The sequence below is a fragment of the Homo sapiens genome, chromosome 2 (assembly GCF_000001405.40).
Source record: "Homo sapiens chromosome 2, GRCh38.p14 Primary Assembly".
In the NCBI taxonomy this organism is placed as follows: domain Eukaryota; kingdom Metazoa; phylum Chordata; class Mammalia; order Primates; family Hominidae; genus Homo; species Homo sapiens.
Genome location: NC_000002.12, coordinates 77,500,963 through 77,524,186, shown reverse-complemented (window position 1 = coordinate 77,524,186; position 23,224 = coordinate 77,500,963). Strand labels below are relative to the sequence as shown.

The following is a 23,224-nucleotide window of genomic DNA, read 5'->3' as shown; positions in this document are numbered from 1 at the left end:
GTATATTGATAGATATCACACATGACATATTCATTATATTTAAAATTAGAAAACACAGACAATTTTATAATAAAAGATGAAATCAAATACTTCTATAATCCATCTTCCAGGAAAGTCTGCTCTGAATATTTTATTTTGCTCTATTTACAGTAATAGACTCCCTTTCACTGCCCTTAACTATCTGAGTTCTCTGCCCCACCTTGCTTACTTTATACATGGTGGTCTAATTTCCTATCAGCATATATCACCCTTTATTTTAATTTTAATGGCAGTGTGTGTTCTATTTTATTAATATATTAATTTTCCCTTCACTCATCCTCTACCATTGATATTTGGGTGGGTTTTGTGTTTCTATATTAAACTACACCACTATGAACAAATCGTATGTGTACATTTATATTGATATACTTATTTTCAGCAACCACAATAATCCTGCCTCTTTTGGCGTGCATTTGCATTTTAATAGGTATTAAGCCTTAAGCCAAAGGCACACATTTCTAAGATAGAAATTCAAGTATCAGTTAGTGGAAAAGGAATATATTTGGGGGACATATTATTCCTTTCTGTTCCTCAAGAAATCTTAGTAATGAGACAATTGCCTGCAACTGCCTACTCATACATCTGAGTCAAATTATATGTGTTATTTATATGATAAGCCCCCTTAATTATTAATATTTTGGCAAACAATCTAAAACCAAGGCTCTTTCTAAAAATATCTATTTGCGATGATCCACAGCAATTCTAAATGCTTATGTGAAATTCATTTAAATTTCTCACGTCTGCTAAATTAGGTTAGCAGTCTTACCTAGCAGTCTCTCCCTGCATTACATTGATTCATTCTCCTGGATTATTCTAAAAATTGTTATCTGCCAGAGGATTATGGAATAAACTAGTAAAAATGAGGAAAAAATGGAGGTGATGCACTATGTTTTTCAACGTCTGTCCAAGCTTAAAGAAAGTGTGTAGGTCCTTTTAAATTATATATATATCAGGTGTTTTATCATGTCATCCCTTCTAATTCTGAGGATATTCTGCACATTTTAGAGTAATACCATGATAATGCAGAACTCAAGTGCTTTTGTTTTTCTGGAATTGCACATTACAATAAGTGATTTGCATAAGAAATGATTTGCATTCTAAATGTAGATGATTTAAGGATAATGGCTGCACTAAGAATGTCAAGCTAGAATTCTACTCTTATCTCTTAGTTACCTTCACATTTGGTAATATACTATAGATTATAACTGCTTTAAGACTAAAAATGTAAACTTTTAGAAAGTAGTGTTCTAGACTGTTCAATAAAATGCACAAAATTGTAAAATGCATTTTATGTCAAAGGTTGAGAATTTGAAAATCAGACTTAAACATGTTAAATGTAACCTGTTTAAAATTGATTAAAATTGCATTTTTCCCTTGAATAAGATTTCTTCCATAAGCGGTTAGTTTAAAACAATATAAATAAATAAAACAAACCAACAGCAACAGTGAATAAAACTTAAATTTCAACAATTTCTGTCATTTGCAAAAGATGATAAATCTCCAGTGACGTGCAGAAAAAACAAATTTCAGGTCATGGCAACTTTGAAAAACTATTAATTGCATAACATTTAGAGAAGCAGTATTTTACTTAATATTTGCTATAACTGAAAGGAACTCCTTGGCATAAACCTTTTAAATTATTGGAGAGAAAAAAATAGTGATTCTGTGCCTTTAATTTCCCTTTCTGAGCAAGGGAAGGCTGCACACCACTGACAGGCTCACTTGTTCCCGTCTTTAATGTGCAATCTGTTTTCTCCAGCGGAGGGCACTCAGTGTATCACAAACTCAAGCATTAGCACCAACAAGCTCTGAGCATCATCAGTCTCTGGAAAGCCTTCTGAATTAGACAAGGGCTGCCTCCCAGCACAGCTACAAAACACTTTAAACCTGACCAGCTAAATGGATAAACCTAGCCTGCATAGCTTTTAAACTGGGGTCTCATACAGCACAGGAGGCCTACTTGCTTCAAGAACTGAAAATCCAGAGGATGAATTGCTTTATCTGGGAATGGCAAAAGCCAGCACAATAAGGAATGCCAGGTATTCTGAAGATTTTCTTTTTTTCCTCTCTTTTTACAGAGAAGTTGGTTACCTCCGAGATGGGCTGTAGCTCTTTTGCACAGATTGCCAATTACTGCTGATGGGTCTCTGGTGAATTACACAATGGTCCTCAGAGCCTAGAGGCCCTCCCCCATCCCTATCCCCCCAACGGCTTCCTTTTCCCTGCCCCCACAACCATCCCACCCTGTGCTGATTTTTTATATATATATATATATGTATATATATATATGTATTTTTTTTTTTTTTTTTTGCCTGTCCTCTCGGGGAAGTTTGTATGGGGCTACTAGCTCACATGCGGGATCAGAATGGTGTGAATGACAGCCGCACTGTGTCATGAAGGTGGTGGTGGTTTCCGCACAAGAGACCAAATAAGAAGAAAGCTGAGAGAGGGGGGAAACGTTTTTGGATGACAAAGGATGGGTAAGTGAACTTTTGTTGTTTCCTTCTGAGCAAAGCTGATCCTCTTGGCTTCCTATCCTCAGTCGTGGCATTAGCAGATAAAAGACGGGGAAACAGGCAAAGAGCAGCAGCCTTTGAGTTTGCCAGTTGATTCACTATAGTTGCTATTATATTTTTAGATCATTTTCCTTTTTGCAGTGTTTTTTTTTTAATCTATAAATGCACAACACGAACTTAAACAGACTCTAGAGAAATATCTTTAAGACTGTTTCTACTGTCTGCGTATCCACAGCTTGGGAATTCAGAAGGAGATAAATACTGTGTTTGCTTCTATTTCTTGATAATATTAACGAGGCTTGTGTTTCTGGTAGCTGTCAGGATGACTATTAACACTTTGCTGCGTGTATGTAGGGGTGGGGTCCTTACTTTATCAGAGGTTGCACAAGGGCTTGTTTTATCTTTGAAGCTGGATCCTGAACACAGCTTCCGAATTTCCAGCAGTCATTTGCCAGTCTTATTTTTTCGAGTGTGACTGGCTTTTTTCCCCCCCTTTCTCCTGTCTGGGAGAGCTGGAATGTATTTCAATGAGTCTGTAGCTGGCAAGAGGACAGAGAGCAAGATCGGGTTTTAAATTAAAAAGAAAAAAAAGAAAAACTTAACTGTTTGAGAAGAAGGATGGGTTTTAGATTAGGGATTTGGTTGATTGCCTCTTGGTTAAAAATTTAAAAATTTAAGAAAAAAAAAGAAACTGCAACACATGGTAGTTGTTTCTTTTTTTTTCTCTCCATTAAGAAATAATAAATCTACTGTTGACGGAGGAAAGAAGTCCCTTAACATGCAATGACTTGGAAATGCAGTGTAAGTGCCAATAGATTGTAACTTTGCAGGCTTTCTGAAGTTAATGGAGATAGGGGAGAAAAAAGTCAGTGAGAAATGTGAAGAGATCAGGGTGATGTAGAGAAAAATAGTAGTTGGCTGCTTCTTTCCTTGTTTATCCTTCGAATTTGCAAAAACAACTCTAAAATAATGGCAAAGTGATACTACACAATATTATTTTGCTTTTTAGGCAAATAATACGAATTTTGATAGTCTTAACTTTGGAGTGTTCTCTGTTATGAGTATTTAGATGTCTTAGCTCCTGTATCGTTGGGCAGGGAGCCACAGTATGCAATAATCTATGCTTATTAACAACTTGAGAGCACCTCGTACCGTTATTAGTCTTCATCCAATGCTTCATTGGCTGCCTATACTAGTCTCAATGCTGTTTTTTCAGAGCTCACATATTGCGATCCTATTATGCAATAAGTACACAATTTCAGGCAGGGCAAACTTGGGTTACCTTGACAGCTTACTGAAGCTCTTTTGCCAAATCACAGCCTGTTTGCTCAACTGGGAAACACGTACAGGTACCAGGTTTACTAAGTCACATTTTTGCCCTTACCAGAGCACATAGTACACTTCCTTTTGGTACTGTTGTTCAATACAGTGGTTAGCCAAATATTATTGTTACTAAAATGTCAGCATTCAGTGGTGAGAAAGGCTCTGTGCTTTTCAATGTTGAAATAAGTAGGAACTCCTGAAACTCAAAAAGGCTTTTCTTAATTCTATGGGACTGTGGTGATTTGAAGATCAAGGAAGAAAAAGTGAAACCTAAGCAGCAAACATGCAACACTGAAGAAAATAATGCTCGAAATGTTAATGCATTTTCCTTAAATCAACTGTCCCATTCCTACACTAGAGGAAATGCCCCTGTTGTTGGTAAACCGACGGTGATTTATTTTAATAGCTTCACAATGTGCATCTGTCTTTTTTTTAATATCGTAGGTTTCCATTTAATTACGCAGCTGAAAGGCATGAGTGTGGTGCTGGTGCTACTTCCTACACTGCTGCTTGTTATGCTCACGGGTGCTCAGAGAGCTTGCCCAAAGAACTGCAGATGTGATGGCAAAATTGTGTACTGTGAGTCTCATGCTTTCGCAGATATCCCTGAGAACATTTCTGGAGGGTCACAAGGCTTATCATTAAGGTTCAACAGCATTCAGAAGCTCAAATCCAATCAGTTTGCCGGCCTTAACCAGCTTATATGGCTTTATCTTGACCATAATTACATTAGCTCAGTGGATGAAGATGCATTTCAAGGGATCCGTAGACTGAAAGAATTAATTCTAAGCTCCAACAAAATTACTTATCTGCACAATAAAACATTTCACCCAGTTCCCAATCTCCGCAATCTGGACCTCTCCTACAATAAGCTTCAGACATTGCAATCTGAACAATTTAAAGGCCTTCGGAAACTCATCATTTTGCACTTGAGATCTAACTCACTAAAGACTGTGCCCATAAGAGTTTTTCAAGACTGTCGGAATCTTGATTTTTTGGATTTGGGTTACAATCGTCTTCGAAGCTTGTCCCGAAATGCATTTGCTGGCCTCTTGAAGTTAAAGGAGCTCCACCTGGAGCACAACCAGTTTTCCAAGATCAACTTTGCTCATTTTCCACGTCTCTTCAACCTCCGCTCAATTTACTTACAATGGAACAGGATTCGCTCCATTAGCCAAGGTTTGACATGGACTTGGAGTTCCTTACACAACTTGGATTTATCAGGGAATGACATCCAAGGAATTGAGCCGGGCACATTTAAATGCCTCCCCAATTTACAAAAATTGAATTTGGATTCCAACAAGCTCACCAATATCTCACAGGAAACTGTCAATGCGTGGATATCATTAATATCCATCACATTGTCTGGAAATATGTGGGAATGCAGTCGGAGCATTTGTCCTTTATTTTATTGGCTTAAGAATTTCAAAGGAAATAAGGAAAGCACCATGATATGTGCGGGACCTAAGCACATCCAGGGTGAAAAGGTTAGTGATGCAGTGGAAACATATAATATCTGTTCTGAAGTCCAGGTGGTCAACACAGAAAGATCACACCTGGTGCCCCAAACTCCCCAGAAACCTCTGATTATCCCTAGACCTACCATCTTCAAACCTGACGTCACCCAATCCACCTTTGAAACACCAAGCCCTTCCCCAGGGTTTCAGATTCCTGGCGCAGAGCAAGAGTATGAGCATGTTTCATTTCACAAAATTATTGCCGGGAGTGTGGCTCTCTTTCTCTCAGTGGCCATGATCCTCTTGGTGATCTATGTGTCTTGGAAACGCTACCCAGCCAGCATGAAACAACTCCAGCAACACTCTCTTATGAAGAGGCGGCGGAAAAAGGCCAGAGAGTCTGAAAGACAAATGAATTCCCCTTTACAGGAGTATTATGTGGACTACAAGCCTACAAACTCTGAGACCATGGATATATCGGTTAATGGATCTGGGCCCTGCACATATACCATCTCTGGCTCCAGGGAATGTGAGGTATGAACCATGATCCTCCTAAAAGCATTTCTACTGCGGGGAAGGAGAGGTAAATGTTTGAAGCCCTAGAGGTGTCTCTAATCACTAGAAAGATTAATGACCCTTTTGCTTTTGGGTTTTGCTCAGTGTGAAAGGTTACTTAATTAAATTACAACCACCAGGAAATTGACTGCTTTTTTTTTTTTTTTAAATGGTTGAAACTTGAAGGAAGTTCATTCAAGGATAAGTTGGAATAAAGCACTATGTTAAAACATCTGCTTTTTAACAATTTGTATACAGGGGTTGGACTTAAAAACACACATACAAACAAAACTCTTTTCATTCTGAAATTTCTGTCTGGTTCTTGGTGTTTGACTGTTGTAATGGAGTAAAGAAGAGGGCCAGCTTAATTTAAAAATAAAGTGAGTTTACCAAAATTCCAGAAGGTAATGAAGATTTAAACCAAAGAGCAATTTTCCCAAGGGTTGATTTTGTTGTAAATTTTTAGTTTTAATGAAAGCATGCAACAGGGATCTCACACCCATGTTACTTGCCATTTAGTTATTATACCAGCATAGAGAATGTCAGAGGCCTACTGTGTAATTGTATCAGGCTCCTAAGGCTTCTTTCTTTTTTTTTTTTTGTTTCCTTCTTTCCTACTTTCTTTCACTCCTTCCTTTCCTTCCTTTCTCTTCCTTCTTTTTTTGTTTGTTTGTTTGTTTTTTAATTACTGGGATATAGATCCGATTTCAAAGGTTTTTATGCACTGGCTATTTGTGTTTAATCAGAATGAAACTTCAATTCCATGCTTTGGCTTTGTCCCTGGTAACTAAAATCAGGTCACAATTTTGTGGATGATTTAGCAATAATAAAATGGCAGTCATAACAGGGACTGTTTGTCAGTATTGCTGTCATCCCCAAAAGAAATGATATGTATTCTTGTTAAACTTATTAAAAAATAAGTGATACAAATATTTATAAATAAAAGGAGAGAGGTTTGAGTTCTGGGTATCCTCCCTTTCTGTAACAGCCTCAAATAAAGGTGTACCTTCCATGTTATATTATTTTTGTTTTTATAAGAATAAATTTGGACCCGGTTTCTGATTATTTAATTTAAAAGATCACTTACAGGATCATGTTAGTGAGCAGACAAATAGTCACAAATTTCAAACTTGTCAATAAGTAATGCTGGATGTAAATTGTTCTTTTCTTGGTAATGTTGATCATTATGTGCAAAGACTGACTACTAAGGCCTTGTTGCTGGAAGAAACTAGTGAAGAGAGGTTAAATTCTGGCAATATAATGTTTTAGTATCTGATTTTAGATGATCACTCTTTCAAAAGACAGTTTTAATGAGTAATTAAAGATGTTGCCCTTTCTAATGCTAGTTAACAGTTGGAAAATATAATTGCTCTTTGATAGCATATACTCCAATTTTTCCATAGTCCTAACTACAAATGCTAATGAAAATGTTTTCAGACAAAGCACTGAATTTGAAATAATCTCTAACTCAGTACAATTTGGACTATTGAACTGTTCTTCAAAGAATTCATTTTCTTCTTTTTTGTGTATCATTGAAAATAAGAGAAGTAATCCCAGATAATAAATTCCTAAAAGGAAACTGTATAAGCAATTGCCCTTAAAAATTAAAAAGAATAAAAGATTTTCTATAAAAGTCTAACAAGGCTTGATGTTTTTATTGCAGGCCCACAATTATACAATATACTTGAGTATTAGTAACACAAGTTCATCCTATTTTATTCTGGGTTCTCCTTATATTTTGTGATCCTCTTAAAGGCTGGTATATAAAAAGAAAAGAAAATTCTAGACGCATTAATTCATTTTCTCTTGACTTTTGGAGTAGAATGCTAACTTTTATGTTTAAGAATCACCAAGAAGAAAGAAACATTCTTAAAGAACCAGGATTTGAGAACTGGGGTTCTAAGACTTTTCCAGAGATCTTAAATTTCACAGATTATTCCATCAAAAACCCTAGGCATTACCATGACAGAAACAAGTTTAAAAGATGGTTCATTTAATTAAAACGTGTGTTTAAATAAACACATTTTGATATTGTATGTGTTATATAGATTGACATTTAATGTCATGAAATTGCACTAGTATTGTTGAAAATGAATGTGTTGTTAAGGCATTAAGTAATGAAGAATGTAATTAAATATTGTAATAATTCTGTTGAGTCAAAATGGAATCCTTACTAAAGTAGCTCAAACTTTCTGTGCCCTCAAACATGGACATTAGTAGGCTATACATTTAAGATCATATGTCCATTTAGGATGAGGAGGGGGGTGCTATAAAACTATATTTAAATGAATTTCAACTTGTTTTAAAACGAAAGCATACAAAAACAAACATTGCAGGGGTCACCCCATTTTTTGACAGAATGTTTGCTGTATTACAGTTATAGGTAGATATAAATGGTGAGGAAAAGCAAACTCTTAGAAATTGTTATAGGGAAAACCCTAATTACTTCTTACTTCTTTGTCACTCGGAGTAAAATTTCTCCTGTTGAGAAATATTCCTTTGGACAAAATCTCTCTACAAAATAGAGCCAAGAGAGGGCAGCGATTTGCCCAACTTTACAATGTTTTTGGAATAGTATAAGTATGCTGAGTTTTAGCTTGGCATTGTTTTCATAAGTCTCATATATCACTAGTTTAGCAGAGAACCATTAATATATTTATAAGACATTTTTGTGAGGTAGGTTTTTTTAAAAAAAAATTAAAAACACCAAACTCTACCCAATAAAGCCATAAATATTTAATTGGAAAACTTAGCACCAAATGCTAATTTTCTAAGATAGTGCCTTGAAGAAATAAAAATTGCATTAAATTAAAAACTCTACTTTCCACCTAACTTTATATTCAGTTACCATGACCTAAATATGGTTACAATATCCATTTTGCTTGTTTCTTTTAAAAGGATTTTTTAAATTGAGATTATTAGATTGGCGTTTGTGAGCCTCCACACAAATATAGCATGCAATTTTCAAATTAAATAATTTTCTCTATGTTTTGCAAGTTTTAATTCTGAAAAGTCTGTGTGCACATACCATTCTGATAAAATGAGGGATAATATTTTAATAATTTGGGCAGTAAAAATTGTTCATATCTATAAAAGAGAAATAGAGTAGATAGTTATGAGTAATTAATATGAATTATAGCACAAGTATAAGGGATACATACATCCTAATCATACTTTGAGTGGATCAGTGTGCTTGGTTGAACTGAATCATTCACTTAGTACATACATCCTCAGTATGTACTCAGAAAAGAGAATTTAAAGCCAAAAGGATACAGCTTTTCCTAAAACAGTAAGGTGTTACTATATAGACAGGAAATGCAAATATTTACTTTGAAAAATAGCTTGTGAAGCTTGGCATAATGTTATCTCATTAAAAAATATGACCAGGGATATAAAGTTGCTTCATTCTGTATATCAATTTTTTCCTTCGAAATTGTAAAGAACAAAGTTTTGAATATCTAGTTCTTCTAGGATTTGTTTTATCAACTGAAAGTAGCAGCGGCCTTTATATATTAGCCAATGTGAACAAAGGACAAGAAAGAATATTTGTAGTTTGTTTTGTACATTAAAAAAAGTTAAATTGGTGAAAATTTAAAATGAATGAATGTAGTCTCTAAAGAGACTCTCCATCCAAAGTGTTTCAATAGTTAAGTAATTGAAATATAAAGTTTAATGATCCTATAGTGCTAACAGTGCTGCTATTAGGAAAATGGCAGTAAAGGTGACAATATAGGTGTATATTTTCCAAATATTTAATATTTTCATTACTTTCTTCAAAATTGAGCAAAATTTTAAAAATATACTGGTTTTCAGTTCAGGTTATATAATTTCTTTGACTGTTATGCAGTGGGTGGTATAAACCATTTCTAACAACTTTTATTTATGGACTATGTTAGGTCAGGTTCAAACAACTGGTATAAAGTAGACCACTTAACTTCTTTTCACACTTTAGATATTGATATTCTTCAGTGTGCTAAGTGAATTTCCAAGGACTACTAAGCATAATGTATATATAAAGAGGACTCTAAGGAAAGCAGACCCAGTTACCTTGAGTTTAATTAACAGTTTATCGACATACAGCTATAGAAAACAAACTTTATTTAGGTGGCTGACTACAACTGTGTCATGGTACAATGTTATGATTGAAACTGTATTTGTATATTTAAATAGGATGTGTGTGTGTTTGTATGTGAGTTTATCCATGTATGTATGTCTGTATATATATATGTGTGTGTGTGTTTGTGTGTGTGCATATAAAGACAAAATAGAAACATATTTCCATCAGAATTAATGTCCATCAAAATTAATTAAATTTTTTTACGACAATTTAAATTATTAGTAACAAATATTTGTTAAAATCACCAAGATTTTTTAGTTAGGAATATGGCCCTTAAGGTAAATGTATTATCATATCTGAAAAATTATAAGTATCGTCAGGTGCAGTGGCTCATGCCTGTAATCCCAGTAATTTGGGAGGCCAAAGTGGGTGGATTACTTGAGGTCAAGAGTTTTAGACCAGTCTGACCAACATGGTGAAAACCTGTCTCTACTGAAAATACAAAAATTAGCAGGTCATGGTGGCGCACAGCTATAATCTCAGTTACTAGGGAGGTTGAGGCAAGAGAATCGCTTGAACCCAGGAGGCAGAGGTTGCAGTGCAAGATTGCACTACTGCAGTCCTGCCTGGGCAACAGAACAAGACTCATCTCAAAATAAACAAATAAAATATAAATTATAAGTATCTTACATCTATGTAGTCTAAAATTCTTTTTCAAAAAACAAAATTTAACATAGTCAAGTCTGTATTTGTACTACATATTGCCATTTTTTGTGTTGCTTTAGACTTGTCACTTCGTTTCTCTGTGACGCATCTCTCAAACGAGTGACTCAGCTAGCACAGTGTTTCCCAACACAAAGCAATTCTCGGATTAGTATAAAGTTTGTAAAGTCTCTATGGTCATTCTCAGAACTGAAAAAGCAGGATGAGCTGTGGAGAAAAAGACTGAGCTACTTACATTCATTTGTCAATGAGAAAAGAAAGAACTTCTTCAGTTACTAAAAACTGGGGTGCCCAGGTGAGCAGCCATACAATTTCTTTATGCTTGAGGGGAAAATATGTAACTCACGCATACACATGTGTGAGCACATGAGTGCACACTCCCACACACGTATATGTCTTTGAAATTCTGCTAAGTAACTAGATATTTTGAAAGCACTTAAAACTATGTCTGCTTTTTAAAAAATCGATTGTCTGAATTAGGTCCAATTAAAATCTATTTGTGAATAGAGTTTTCATTAGAATTCACAAATGGTAGTGGTGAAGAGTGACAGCTGCCAAAAAAAGACCGACATAGCTAATTTAGGAAAGATTTTAAACTGACAATAAATGGCCCTTTTCTTTTTCTAGAATTAGCTGGTATTAGCATCTCACGGACAAGGTTTTCATAAATGATTGCTCTTGAAGACTCCCAGCTGAGAAGTCTGTGGTCTTAGGAATGTGTAGCTTTTGACACACCCCAATAATATCCACAGGATACCAGAATTTCCTTCTTGAGACTTTTCTGTGTTTATAAAATGTAATCATCCCTAGTTCTTCTCAGGAATTGCATTTAGAGATAGTTTTATGCTTTAGGAGTTGCTCAGTAATATTTTCACTGGGGACTTGGTGACTCATCTGAATTTTCATGTCTCTAGAGTTTCATGATTCACTAAATCAAAGTGAAGCAGAAGCAACCTGTATATCACTAGACACTGAGAGTTTTGAAAAACCAGTATGTCTTTTGATCAGTGAAAAGCATGAAGTGATGTTGAATACATTTTAAAAATTAAAATTGCTTTTTATAGTACCAGAAGAACCATCATTCATTGAGTCAGTTTAATAAAATCTCAATATTCATGAAAGGAAAAAGAAATTACAGGGCTATTTTTCTCATGCACTCCATAAGCCATTAAAATTGTAACTGTAAGGTAGGAAAGGTTGAGAAAAAAAGCACAGTATTTCCTAAGGTATCAAAACAATTGGCTTTTTAAATAAACGTCTGCTAGAAGCTGCTAGATATGTACAAAGACTATGTATTTAAACTCCTGCTAAAGAGTTTAAAAATAATGCTATCACTGCCAAGAGAAATTAAAATCTAAACAAACGTAACCATGGAAAATTAGTCCTTTACAAGGGAGGCCAGGTAATATGGTACACCTGTAGTCCCAGCTACTTGTGAGGCTAACGTAGGAAGATCGCTGAAGGCCAAAAGTTCGAGGTTGTCCTGAGCTATGTTTGAGCCTATGAATAGCCTCTGTGCTCCAACCTGGGCAAAACTAAGACGCTGTCTCTTAAACATACAAATAAAAATATATGAAAGCTAACACCTTAAGTTTACTTACGTAAGGTTTGTAAACATAGGTTTGAGGAATGAAATGACAGCAAAGTCATTTGATTTAAGGTCATAAAGTTTGACCTTAAGTCAAATCTATACATTATAATATTGTAAACATAAGTTTGGGGAATGAAATGACAGCAAAGCTGATACATATTAATAAAATATTTAAAAATGGTGAAAATGTAAGAAATTCAGAAAGAAATATGAAGAAGCATAATTAAAAGGAAAACCCTGAACACAAACATTAAAATATTAGTATATTTTCTTTCCATGTACAAACAATAATAATAAATACCATAACCTTATTATGTATTTGCTTAAAATAAATAAGCAAATTTGCTTAAAATAAGTTAGCAAACTTGCTTAAAATAAGTTAGCAAATGTGCTTAAAATAAATAAGCAAATATATAACTCAATAAGGTTATGGCATTTAGCATTATTGTTTGTACATGGAAATAAAATATACTAATATTTTAATGTTATATAAATGATACGAAATATAAATATCACAGTAACTTTGAAATATTTCATTTAAACAGCTATATACGATTAAACACTCATGTATCTTCTATAAATATTTCTAAAATACTAACATGTATACTGAATACAGATGGTATTGCTTTTGAATACAGGCTGATAATTGCTTTTTAATAAACACAGTTCTGTACTAACTTATCCAGTTTATATGAATTGTCTCAAAAGTAAATATTTGTGGAAGATACATGAAAAGGAATTTAATGACAGAAAAGTAATTTTTTTAATTTCCTCTCTCATTGCCTCAATTTGGTATGATTGTTTTCCAAATTTTGGGATGTCTGTACACCATAACTTGTAAGGTATGTTGTCTTCTTTACCTAGTTTTCCATCTCTTTGTTTACTGAATTCAGACCTCAGAGAAAAGTGGAAAAACATAATCATTAAATCTAGCAAGAAGAATCATTTTTTCCATTTTGTTTCTTTTTAAACACAAATTCTTCTAGTGGAAGTAAATAAGGTATAGTAAACATTTTGACTGCAGGTTTTAAAATAAAATGGTCAGACGTAGAGTAACTATAATGTCAAAACTTATGACACTTATAATTTTTACTTTTACCTACATTTTAATGGTTCAGATCTTCAAATATCATTGATTTAAAAACTAAAAGGTGAGTAAATTTTTAATAAAGCAGACAAACTAAGATAAACATGGATGAGTTGCTTAAGAGAATTCACTATATTTTTAAGATCTAAATAAGCAATATATGCTTCAAAATAGGAATATATAGAGTTATGATTTGATTCCATTTGGGCTAAATTTTTTAACTTAAAGCAAAATTACATAGACACTAATTTTGGAGTAGCAAATAATATAGAAAAAAATGCCTGCAAATGTTCTTTTATTTTGGAAGGACAGTGCTACTTAATTCGTATTCACTGTATATTTTCACTTTTAAAGTATAACAATTGTTGTTTAGTTGCCTTCTCTTAAAATAAAATGTCATTAGGCAAAGCCTTGAAATTGTGATGATTTTATTGAGACAAACAGAAACAGTCTTTGGGTATAAATTCTATATTTGCATTTCAATTCTTCCCTCCTTCCTGAAGACACATTAACTGAAACATACGTTCTTTCACTTGCTCTTGAAGATCTAAATATTTGAGGTGTTAACTTATTAAAAGTTGATTTCTTGTTTCCTTTAACTGACTCATATTAAATAAATTTATTTTCAAATGACACCTTAAAAATATTGTTTGTTTCATCATAAATTTCATCATGATGCATTCATTTCACTATTAAGTGCTTTGATATTTACAATTGTAAATTGATACCACTCTTGTCAATTGTTTCTAATAAGACTTAAAGAAACAATGTAAATACACATTAATTAGGTTTGAGTCTTTTTTAGTATGGTCACCATAGATGAAAAAATGATATTTTCTTCTCTGTCTATAGATCTGTAAAAGTAATAGCAGAGAGGTCAGCCTTGAAGTACTTTAGGTTGATGGTCAAACCACAACATGGACAAATACTGCCTTGGTCCAGTGGTTAGATCAAGGGGTGAAAAAGAGGTCTTAGATTTGAAGCAGACTCTCTTTACTTCTCTAATATTGGACAAGTAAATATATATCTGACCTTTCTGTGATATAATTTTTTCATCTATTGGACTAGGATAATAACTTTCCAAGTAACTTGTTGAAATGATTAATGAGGTACTATTCAGAAACCACTCTGAACTCCTCCATAAAAAGCTACAGTGTAAATATGAATGATTATTAACCATAAGCCCTACTGTTTACTGAAAAATGCAAAATACAATGTAGCTGTATTATTTTCATTGTTATTATTAGTTATGATGATGGTTATAATACTCCCTGATGTAGAAACACGTGTTGTGGTTACATTTTTAGTAAAGTGAATAATAAACATGACCTTTCCGTCCCTTGTCTGAGCTGTAATTTAGTTTGGGTACCAGAGCTGGCAATATTTAATAATACCCCAGGATTTGTAAAATACTCCCTTGACCGAACATTTTATTCACCTTGCAAAGAAAGCAGCATTTATAATTATTTTGTTGTTACTATGTCTAAAGAAGAAAGGAGTTAGAGAAACAACTTATAAATTCCCTATCTTATCAGATATCATACTTCAGTTCATTTTAATAAGCAGAAACAGTTTGTTTGTTTGTTTTTGGCTTTTTTTTTTTTTTTGATACAGAGTCTCACTCTGTTGCCCAGGCTGGAGTGCAATTGTGCCATCTCAGCTCACTGCAACCTCCACCTCCCGGGTTCAAGCGATTCTCCTGCCTCAGCCTCCTGAGCAGCTGGGATTACAGGTGTGTGCTACCATGCCTGGCTAATTTTTGTATTTGTAGTAGAGACAGGGTTTCACCATGTTGGCCAGGCTGGTCTTGAACTCCTGACTTCGGGTGATCTGCCCGCCCTGGCCTCCCAAAGTGCTGGGATTACAGGCATGAGCTGCTGTGGCCTGGCCTTAGAAACAGTTTTTTCATTCCCCAGGTGTTTATGCATCACACATCACAAGTGGGAGTTTTCAACAATACATTAAATATTCCTTTTGAATTCAGAAGTTATTAGTAAGTGATTTAAAGAAGAATTGATATTGCTCTACTGCATATATATGTATGTAATATATAATTTAATAATTTGTGTATAAGTATTTATATTGGTTAAGTATAAGCTCTTATATTTGTAGAAATATGTATTGCATCATTCTTATTATTGTCCCCATAGTGTAATATATTTTAAACTGAAACACATTTCTTTCTAAGTTTTTCAATGGAATATTTCTCATGATATGATTGCGTACTATGAAATGAGAGAGGGCACTACTGACAAAAAACAAACCCCATAAAGACAAAAAAGACAAAATAATAATGTTACATTTGCTTGAGAAAACAAATGATTTTCTTTGTGATTGGTACAGCATAATTATTCCAATGAGGGGATTTGGCCAGTGGTTGAGTATATATATTCTGATTATGCACTATGGAACTAGGGAAATAACACGGCTTGGATTCTCACTGTGAGATGGATCTGAGCTAAAATTCCATTAATCACTTGTCCTCTACGAGCCCTTACTCTGACTGGAGGATCACAGGGATGTTTTGGATCTCCAAGAATTCGTGTCACTTCAGAGTTTGTGTCGAGTAATCCCCAAAAGTCTGATTACTTCACATTCCCCAATACACAGTCACCTTAGAAAATAGTTATAGATCTCGCTGGAGAAGGCTGGGGGAAAGTTTAACAGTATACATTTTTCATAGTATAGCAGGGTCCTTCCTCAAGGGGACCTGTCTGCCTTTTCATTCAGTGGATTCTGGGTCTGTAAACTGGCTCAAGTCTGGGAATTGATTATGGGATCATGACTATTTTGGTGATTCAAATTAGACTTCTGTTCACTTGAGCTAGAACTCTTCCACGTATGCAGATCAAGTATGAATTTAATGGATTTGTACGTACTTCTCTTCTAGGGACACCATGATCCACTAGTCAGCATCATAGATCTTTTTTGAGTCAGGGTATTCTGATCACTGCTTTGACTTTGCTGTCGTCATGGTAACCATGCTCACCTTGTCTTCGGTGATTAAGTTCTGACACCAGGTCTATGCCACTCTGGAATTCCATTTTGTGCATTGCTCTTAGGGATTCCAATTTGATAGTAGCTGTTTCCTCTGTAACTTCTGAACCACAGAGACCAAATATTCTCAACCACTTTTTCCTCTCACCTTTGGGGCGTGGCGTGTGGTATTCTAACTAGAATTTCTTTTCTTTTTTCCTTTTTTTAATTTCTGAGAAATGTTACTTAGATGTCAATCTTGAAACTTGAGAGGTAAGGGAATTTAAAATTTAAATATAAATTTTTAACTTTCGCAAATCATAATCTCTTTGGTTATCTGACCACTCACAGTGTGGCTTTTCCCAAATGACTGGAGGATAAGAGATGATTTAAAATCAGCATTCCAATGTGTTGCCCCTTCACCTTTGGTATAACATCTTCCTTTGGAATGTGTATATGATTCTCCAACAAAACATGAAGATTGACAAGGAATCTTTGGGCCAGAAAGAAGATAGCATTCATTCTCTTTCTCACTGAGTTTTTTACTAAAAATTTATTGAAACAGATTACATAATTAATTATATAAGCAAATATATGATTTTATCCTACAATGTTTGACTGTTTCTACTCTACTTATACTAAACAATTACAAAGATACAGGTTATTCTGAGATATGAACGAGTATAATTTTGTAGATTAACATGATACATTTTAATTTCCATTATTTTCTAGTTATAAAGTAAATGAATGCTTTTTAAGAAAATATTGAAAACATAAAGTTATTTATAAAAATAATCAAAATAATTACCAACAAGCCCCACTATGCAGAGGTAATACTTTAAAAATTCTGGAACATAAATTCTATCATATGCACAGGTATGTGACTGTGGCTATTAGAGAAAATTAATTTCATATTAGAAACTGTATGTATATGATTGCATAACATTACTTTGAAGTTCACATTTTATTATGAATAGGAATGCTTTTGAAAACATAGTTTTTGAAAGTATATTCCTAAGATGTGTCATCTTTTACTTATGCCTCCCTTTTTTGTTGGACATTTGCGATGGTTCATTTCACCGTCACAAAAATGTCTTAAATTACCTCATCATGTTGATAGATTCCTACAAAAGAGAATAAGTGGCCAGAAAGAATAAAAAATGTAATCTACTTAACACATTGCCAAAATTGCTCTCTCAAAAATATATAACTTTTTATGTTTTTTATCTTACCACATGCATTGTGTAAGAGTTCCCATTTTTCCACATATACCCCTAACATTATTTATTATCTCTTTTTTAGCAATTTGACAGGTTATTTTTTTAGCACTTAATTTTTACATGTTTGACGTTAGTGCAGTAGAACCTTTTTTTCACATTTTGTGTTACTGGATTTCTTATTTTGAAATGTGGAATCTAAACAGTCTTTGAAGTCAACAATAATAACATTATTCATTATGTTTTCTTACATTGCTTTTACTTTAAAAATGCCTTTCTCATCCTGTGTATACTAAATATTTACTATGTCTTAATCATTTCCTCTATAGGTTTATTTTTACATTTACTTCTTAATTTAAAACATACTTTAGTGTGTCCATGTGAAATAGAGAACTAACTTGTTTTTTTCCTGCTAAAATATTATAATTCTCTCCGGATATTTTACTTAATACTAACGTAAAATTCTAATATATCCAGGTCATTTTTGTGCTTTCTATATTCCACTCAAGGATTCACTCTTTATTACAATGTAAGAACCATATTTTCAAACACTATTATAGTTTACAATATATTTTAAGTTTTATAAATAAGTATTCTTGCTCCAACCACTAAATTCCATGTCTACTAAAAAAGAAATGTCATGGTTTTTCTTTGTCATTTCTATTTGAAATGAGATTTTTGTATCGCTCTCTCTTCCCTGAACACACATATTTGGTATTTTGACTAGAATTATGTGAATCTATGAATCAATTTGGAAATAATTGAAATCTCTGCATTTTTCAAAAGGAAATATTATAAAAAATATTGTCTTAGAGCTCGATTTATATCATTCCTTTCTATGTCCCCTTTAAAGATGTGTTCATTTGATTCATTTTAAAATTCTAATACAGATATGATAATGCATGTATATGTATGTCCATATTTATAGGCATCAATATTTTGATTATATGCATTCATTTTAGTAGAATAACTTTTAAAAATTTTTAGTTCAAAAATAATTTTGCAAAACACAATGTTTATCTTCTCTTTTTTAATAGTTACATTTCTTATTTATTATACTTCTACATATTAAGAGGAAATCTTCTAGAATACCATTAAATGACTATGGTGATTTGGAGCAATTTTTTTGTTTCTAACTTTAATTTGACTACTGTATTTTGGTCCACTTCGTTGATTTATTCAACAAAAATATGTTGTGTACCTATACTAGCATGTGGTAACACTGGACTCTGTGCTATTTTTAAACTAGGAAAACACTGTTTTTTAGCAAAATCTTATTTATCACAATTATCATATAGTCTCATTTATAAAAATTAACAATAGGACAGACACTAAGTTTACCAAATGAATTTTTAGCTTTTTTTCTTTTTTTGGTGAGGAATATCTTTTTTCCTATACTTTGGTTTTTGATTTTATGAATTTTATATATATTGTTTCATAATATTAAATGTTATTTGTATTTCTGGAATAAATTATGGTTGTTCTTTCATTATATTCTTTTCCAGATCAGCTCCTATTGCGCTTACTTTGATTCGTAATTTATAATTATCTCTTAAATAAAAAGAGATCTTAATATTATGTTCTTTATTAGTTGAGTTATATTTAATAATTTATCTTTTTCTAGCTCTAAAATCATTAAAATAATATAGAAATTGTTTTCCCTTGAAATGTATAAACTATTCATGAAAATTTGCCTTTGTAGAACCCCTTTTGGATGCAATGCTGAGAAAAAATTATAAATTTTATTTAGATTTTTCTTTTATGTCTTTGAAGCAGAATGTTAAACTATAGTTTCCTACAAAATCCACATTTCTTTGAAAATTTAGCATGTATAACAAATTGTTTATGTAATACTTAAACATCTTCTCTAGTCATATATTTGTTCATTCAATTACTATAGACCACTGCACTACAAACTATAAATAAGGGATGTCAGCTCCTTGAGTCTGTATTCTTATAAACAGAATAAAATTGTTAGATCATTACATGTAATTTTTCCTTAAGATTGTAAATGCCTCAACGTTCTGTTTTGTTAAATGATTCTTGTTTATAATGGCTAAAGATCTACAGATTTATTGATTTTTTTCAAAGAACTAGTAGAGAATTACCTTCAAATTAAAGGAAATTACATCAATGTTCTACTTCCCAGGGTATAATACTGCCAATGTCTGAATGATTCCTCCACCAATACTCTCTGACATTAAGTAATTTTACCTCATCAGTTACCTTTCACTTTTTTATGTAGTCAAATTATTTCTTTTATCTGGATCAGAGGGCAGCAAACTATTTCTGCAAATAATAAGACAGTCAATATTTTAGACTTTATGGGCCATATGGTCGATGTGACAACTACTTTGTCACTATAGTACAAAAAGCTATGGAAAATATGTAAAGGATGAGTACATCTGTGTCCCAGTAAAATCTATTTACAAAAAAAATGGTGGCAGTCTGGATTTAGCTCATGTGTTAGTTTGCTGACCTGAATCTATATCATTTTTATAGGCTTTTAAACATACTTGAGTATTACCACTCAAGAAAGGAAGAGAGACAGAGAGAATTTTCTTATAACTTTAAATTCTCCTCTATTACTGCTCTGTATTATACTTCCCTTTCATAGAAAATCTTTACAAAAGATTCTACCCCAGTCTACTTTTCTCCATCAATTGCTAAGTTCTTCAACCTACTATCATGTGTCATTAGAGCCCACTATGCCATCCAAACAGCTCTTGCTAAGCTTGCCACTGACTTCATCATCACCACATTTTATAATTTTTTAAAAAATTCTTTGCTTTACTTTGATATCTCAATAATTGTTAACAGTCGGCCTTTTTTCTTTCTTTAAATGTTTTCCTCCCTTGACTTCTGTACATGGGTTCATTCATTTTTCATTTAATCATTCACCTTTTCCATATCTTTGTAAGCTCAAATTCCTCTACCTGAGTTTTACGTTTTTCTTATGGCTACATCCTTGTGGTATTCTCTTATTCCATCATATTCTCTCTCTGTCTCTCCCTCTCACCCTCTCTTTCTGATCTCATTTACACACACAGAATACACTACCATTTATTCACTAAAAATAAACATGTTATTTCTCTGTTGCTTGACCTCTGCTCTGAGTTCCCCACATGTATAAATATATGCCAGCTTCTTATTTGACACCTGAATTCAGATATCTGAGACATCTTAAAGTCATTTCCAAAAGTAAGCCAAGATCTTTTCTCCACGTTTTTATTCCTGGTATTTCTTGTTTTGTGAATGAAGCTATCCCTCTTGGAAAGTCACAATCTCCAGAATTATCTTTAAACCCATCCTCACCCTCATACTCCATAAGCAATCTATCTTGGAGTCTTACTGATTTTACCTCCTAAATAAATCTCAAATTCATTCATGTCTCTCCATCTTTACTAGTGACAATTTTTGTCCTATTTAGTCTCCTTAATTCAACTCTTGTTCCATTGAATTTGTTTCTCTGCTACAGGCAAGGTGCAGCTTCCAAAACAAAAGTGGATCATGTTACATCCTCCATTATTTATTTAAAGCAATTTAGTGGAGTCCTATTGTTGATAGAATGAGAACCAAAATATAAGCTAAAAAAAAAAAACCCTGAATGACCTGGCCCTGCCTTCACAGATTTTCATTTTACACTCTCTTTGCTCTACAATCTCCATTCATGGATGACTCTACTCTCGGCACTGGCTTTATTTTGTTTTCCTCTTATTTGCATTCTTTCTCCTTGGACAATGTGTTGATGTAAGTCTGGCCCTAGATTACTATTCACCTCCATATAATGAATTCGCATTCACCAGCTCCTCAGGAAGCCGTTGCAGAAATCCTTGTATAGTCAAACCACCTTGTTTTACTCTTGCTCACCCATCTAATACTCTACATGAGATGTACCCAATTTGAGATTATCCCTCCTTTTTCATAATGACTTGATTAATGTCTGCCAATCCTACTTGATCTAATTTACCCAGCAGAAGGTAACATGACTTTTTTTGTTGGACTTTATAATTCCAGTGCCTCACTCCATGTCTTGTATACAATAAAAGCTCAATAAATACTTACTGAAAGAATAAATAATTACGTTCCCAAATTTTACTTTTTAAAAAATTTTCTGCCTTTTAAAGATAATTACATATCTTCTTTGAAAATCTTCTTTATAAATTTTTATTTCAAAATATTGATAAATTTATATCACTAAAGTTCAAAGCTATAGATTAACTTTACGGTATACAGTTTTGTGTGGCCCAGTTTTTTAATATAAATTTTTTCTCTCATACTTTTGTTCATTAATATGCCATTTTATTACATGTTTATGTTCAAAATGATAAAATACATAAAAGCAAAAATTTAAAAAATTTATATAACTTTTATTATCTTTTTTCTAAAACAATTGTGTATGCATTTTTATTACACAAAAATAATAATGTAAGTGAATTGCTTATAATCTGCCATTTTTGCTTACTCTCTTGTGAACATGTTTATATATCAGTAAGCATTCGTCTACACATATTTTTAGTTAGTGAATAATATTAATTTATTTTATATGGGTTCCAATTCTGTTTTGGTAGTGTTTTCGACATTTTCAGGATAAGCAAATTTAGGACAATAATGTTTGCACTTATGTCATTTCTGATACACTTAATGATTAACAATTTATAGTGATATTTCAATTTATTTTCTCACCTCAACATTTAAATTTTTTTGCAATGATTTGTTCTAATTGAGATCAAATGATATTTTATTGTTCTATTAATATTCACCACCACTGTGACTACTAGTGACACATGCAATTTCTTATGTTTGACATTTGTATATTTTAATTTCTGTATTTTATGTTCATTTTCTTTGCTTGTTCGTAATTTTATTAACTTATAATAGGTTTTAAGTAGTTTATTAATCCTTTAGCTTCTATAAACATTGCAAATCGTTCAGAGCTTGCCGTTCAGCTTTTAATTATTTTAGGTAGGATTTGATTGTATGATTAGAAAATTAATTTCATTTATATATAAATTATTCTATATTTTATTTTATTGTTTCTTCCTTTATTGTATGGTACAAAGATTCTCTCAAGAAAATAGTAAATAACTATTCACTTTATTTTTTTCTAATAGTCTCATGCTTTTTATTTGAAATAATTCAACTAACTTTTTATTGTCAAACATTTTACCTAGTTCCCCAATTTCACGTCATTTAATTACAACCTCAAAATTTTATATTTAAATTGTAAATCATTAAGTAGTTACTTATGGATACATACATTAACATTTTATGCATTATATTTATATGTTATGCGTATGGACTATGTATTCATATATGTTTTCATATATACAAATATATATGAAAACACCTGTGTTTCTATTAAAATTTTTATTTTGCTGGTGCTTTTGGCATACTGCTTAGTTAATCTAAAAGATTAAATTATGTTTAATTATTCTTGTTTAAAAATATATTTGGGGTATTATTTCCATCCAGTTTCTACATTTAGTTATAAAATGATATATATACATATATAAAATTATATATAATTACATTGGTAAGTGTGGTTCTTTCCCACTATCTTGTTTTCTATTGCCTTTTATCCTCTCCGGAACCATATTCTAGAAATAAATCATTGTTAACTCTCTGTTCTGTTTTCTTCTGGATATTTTCTGTACTTTTATGAATGAATATTTTCTTCTCA

The 23,224-nt window shown here is 32.7% G+C and overlaps 1 protein-coding gene across 6 annotated transcripts in view, besides 1 other annotated feature; it reads left to right on the top strand.

Moving 5' to 3' along the window:
• Positions 832 to 1,497: an enhancer, noted in NCBI's record as "OCT4-NANOG-H3K27ac hESC enhancer chr2:77749816-77750481 (GRCh37/hg19 assembly coordinates)". NCBI's record gives its function as "activates a minimal SCP1, AML or CMV promoter by ChIP-STARR-seq in naive H9 embryonic stem cells {active_cell/tissue: H9 hESC(naive)}" and the evidence as "EXISTENCE:reporter gene assay evidence [ECO:0000049][PMID:30033119]".
• Positions 1,811 to 23,224, top strand: part of LRRTM4 (leucine rich repeat transmembrane neuronal 4) — a 774,692-nt gene continuing 753,278 nt past the window's right edge. Inside the window, exons 1-3 of one of the 6 annotated variants that reach the window (NM_001282924.3) lie at positions 1,811 to 2,078; positions 2,439 to 2,519; positions 4,323 to 5,869. In NM_001282924.3, the coding sequence (NP_001269853.1) occupies positions 2,516 to 2,519; positions 4,323 to 5,869 (1,551 nt within the window). In that variant the 5' untranslated portion in view covers positions 1,811 to 2,078; positions 2,439 to 2,515. Of the gene's footprint in view, positions 2,079 to 2,368; positions 2,520 to 4,322; positions 7,530 to 23,224 lie in introns of those variants that run through there. The other 5 variants (NM_001134745.3, NM_024993.6, NM_001330370.2 and 2 more) reach the window with 5 other exon arrangements.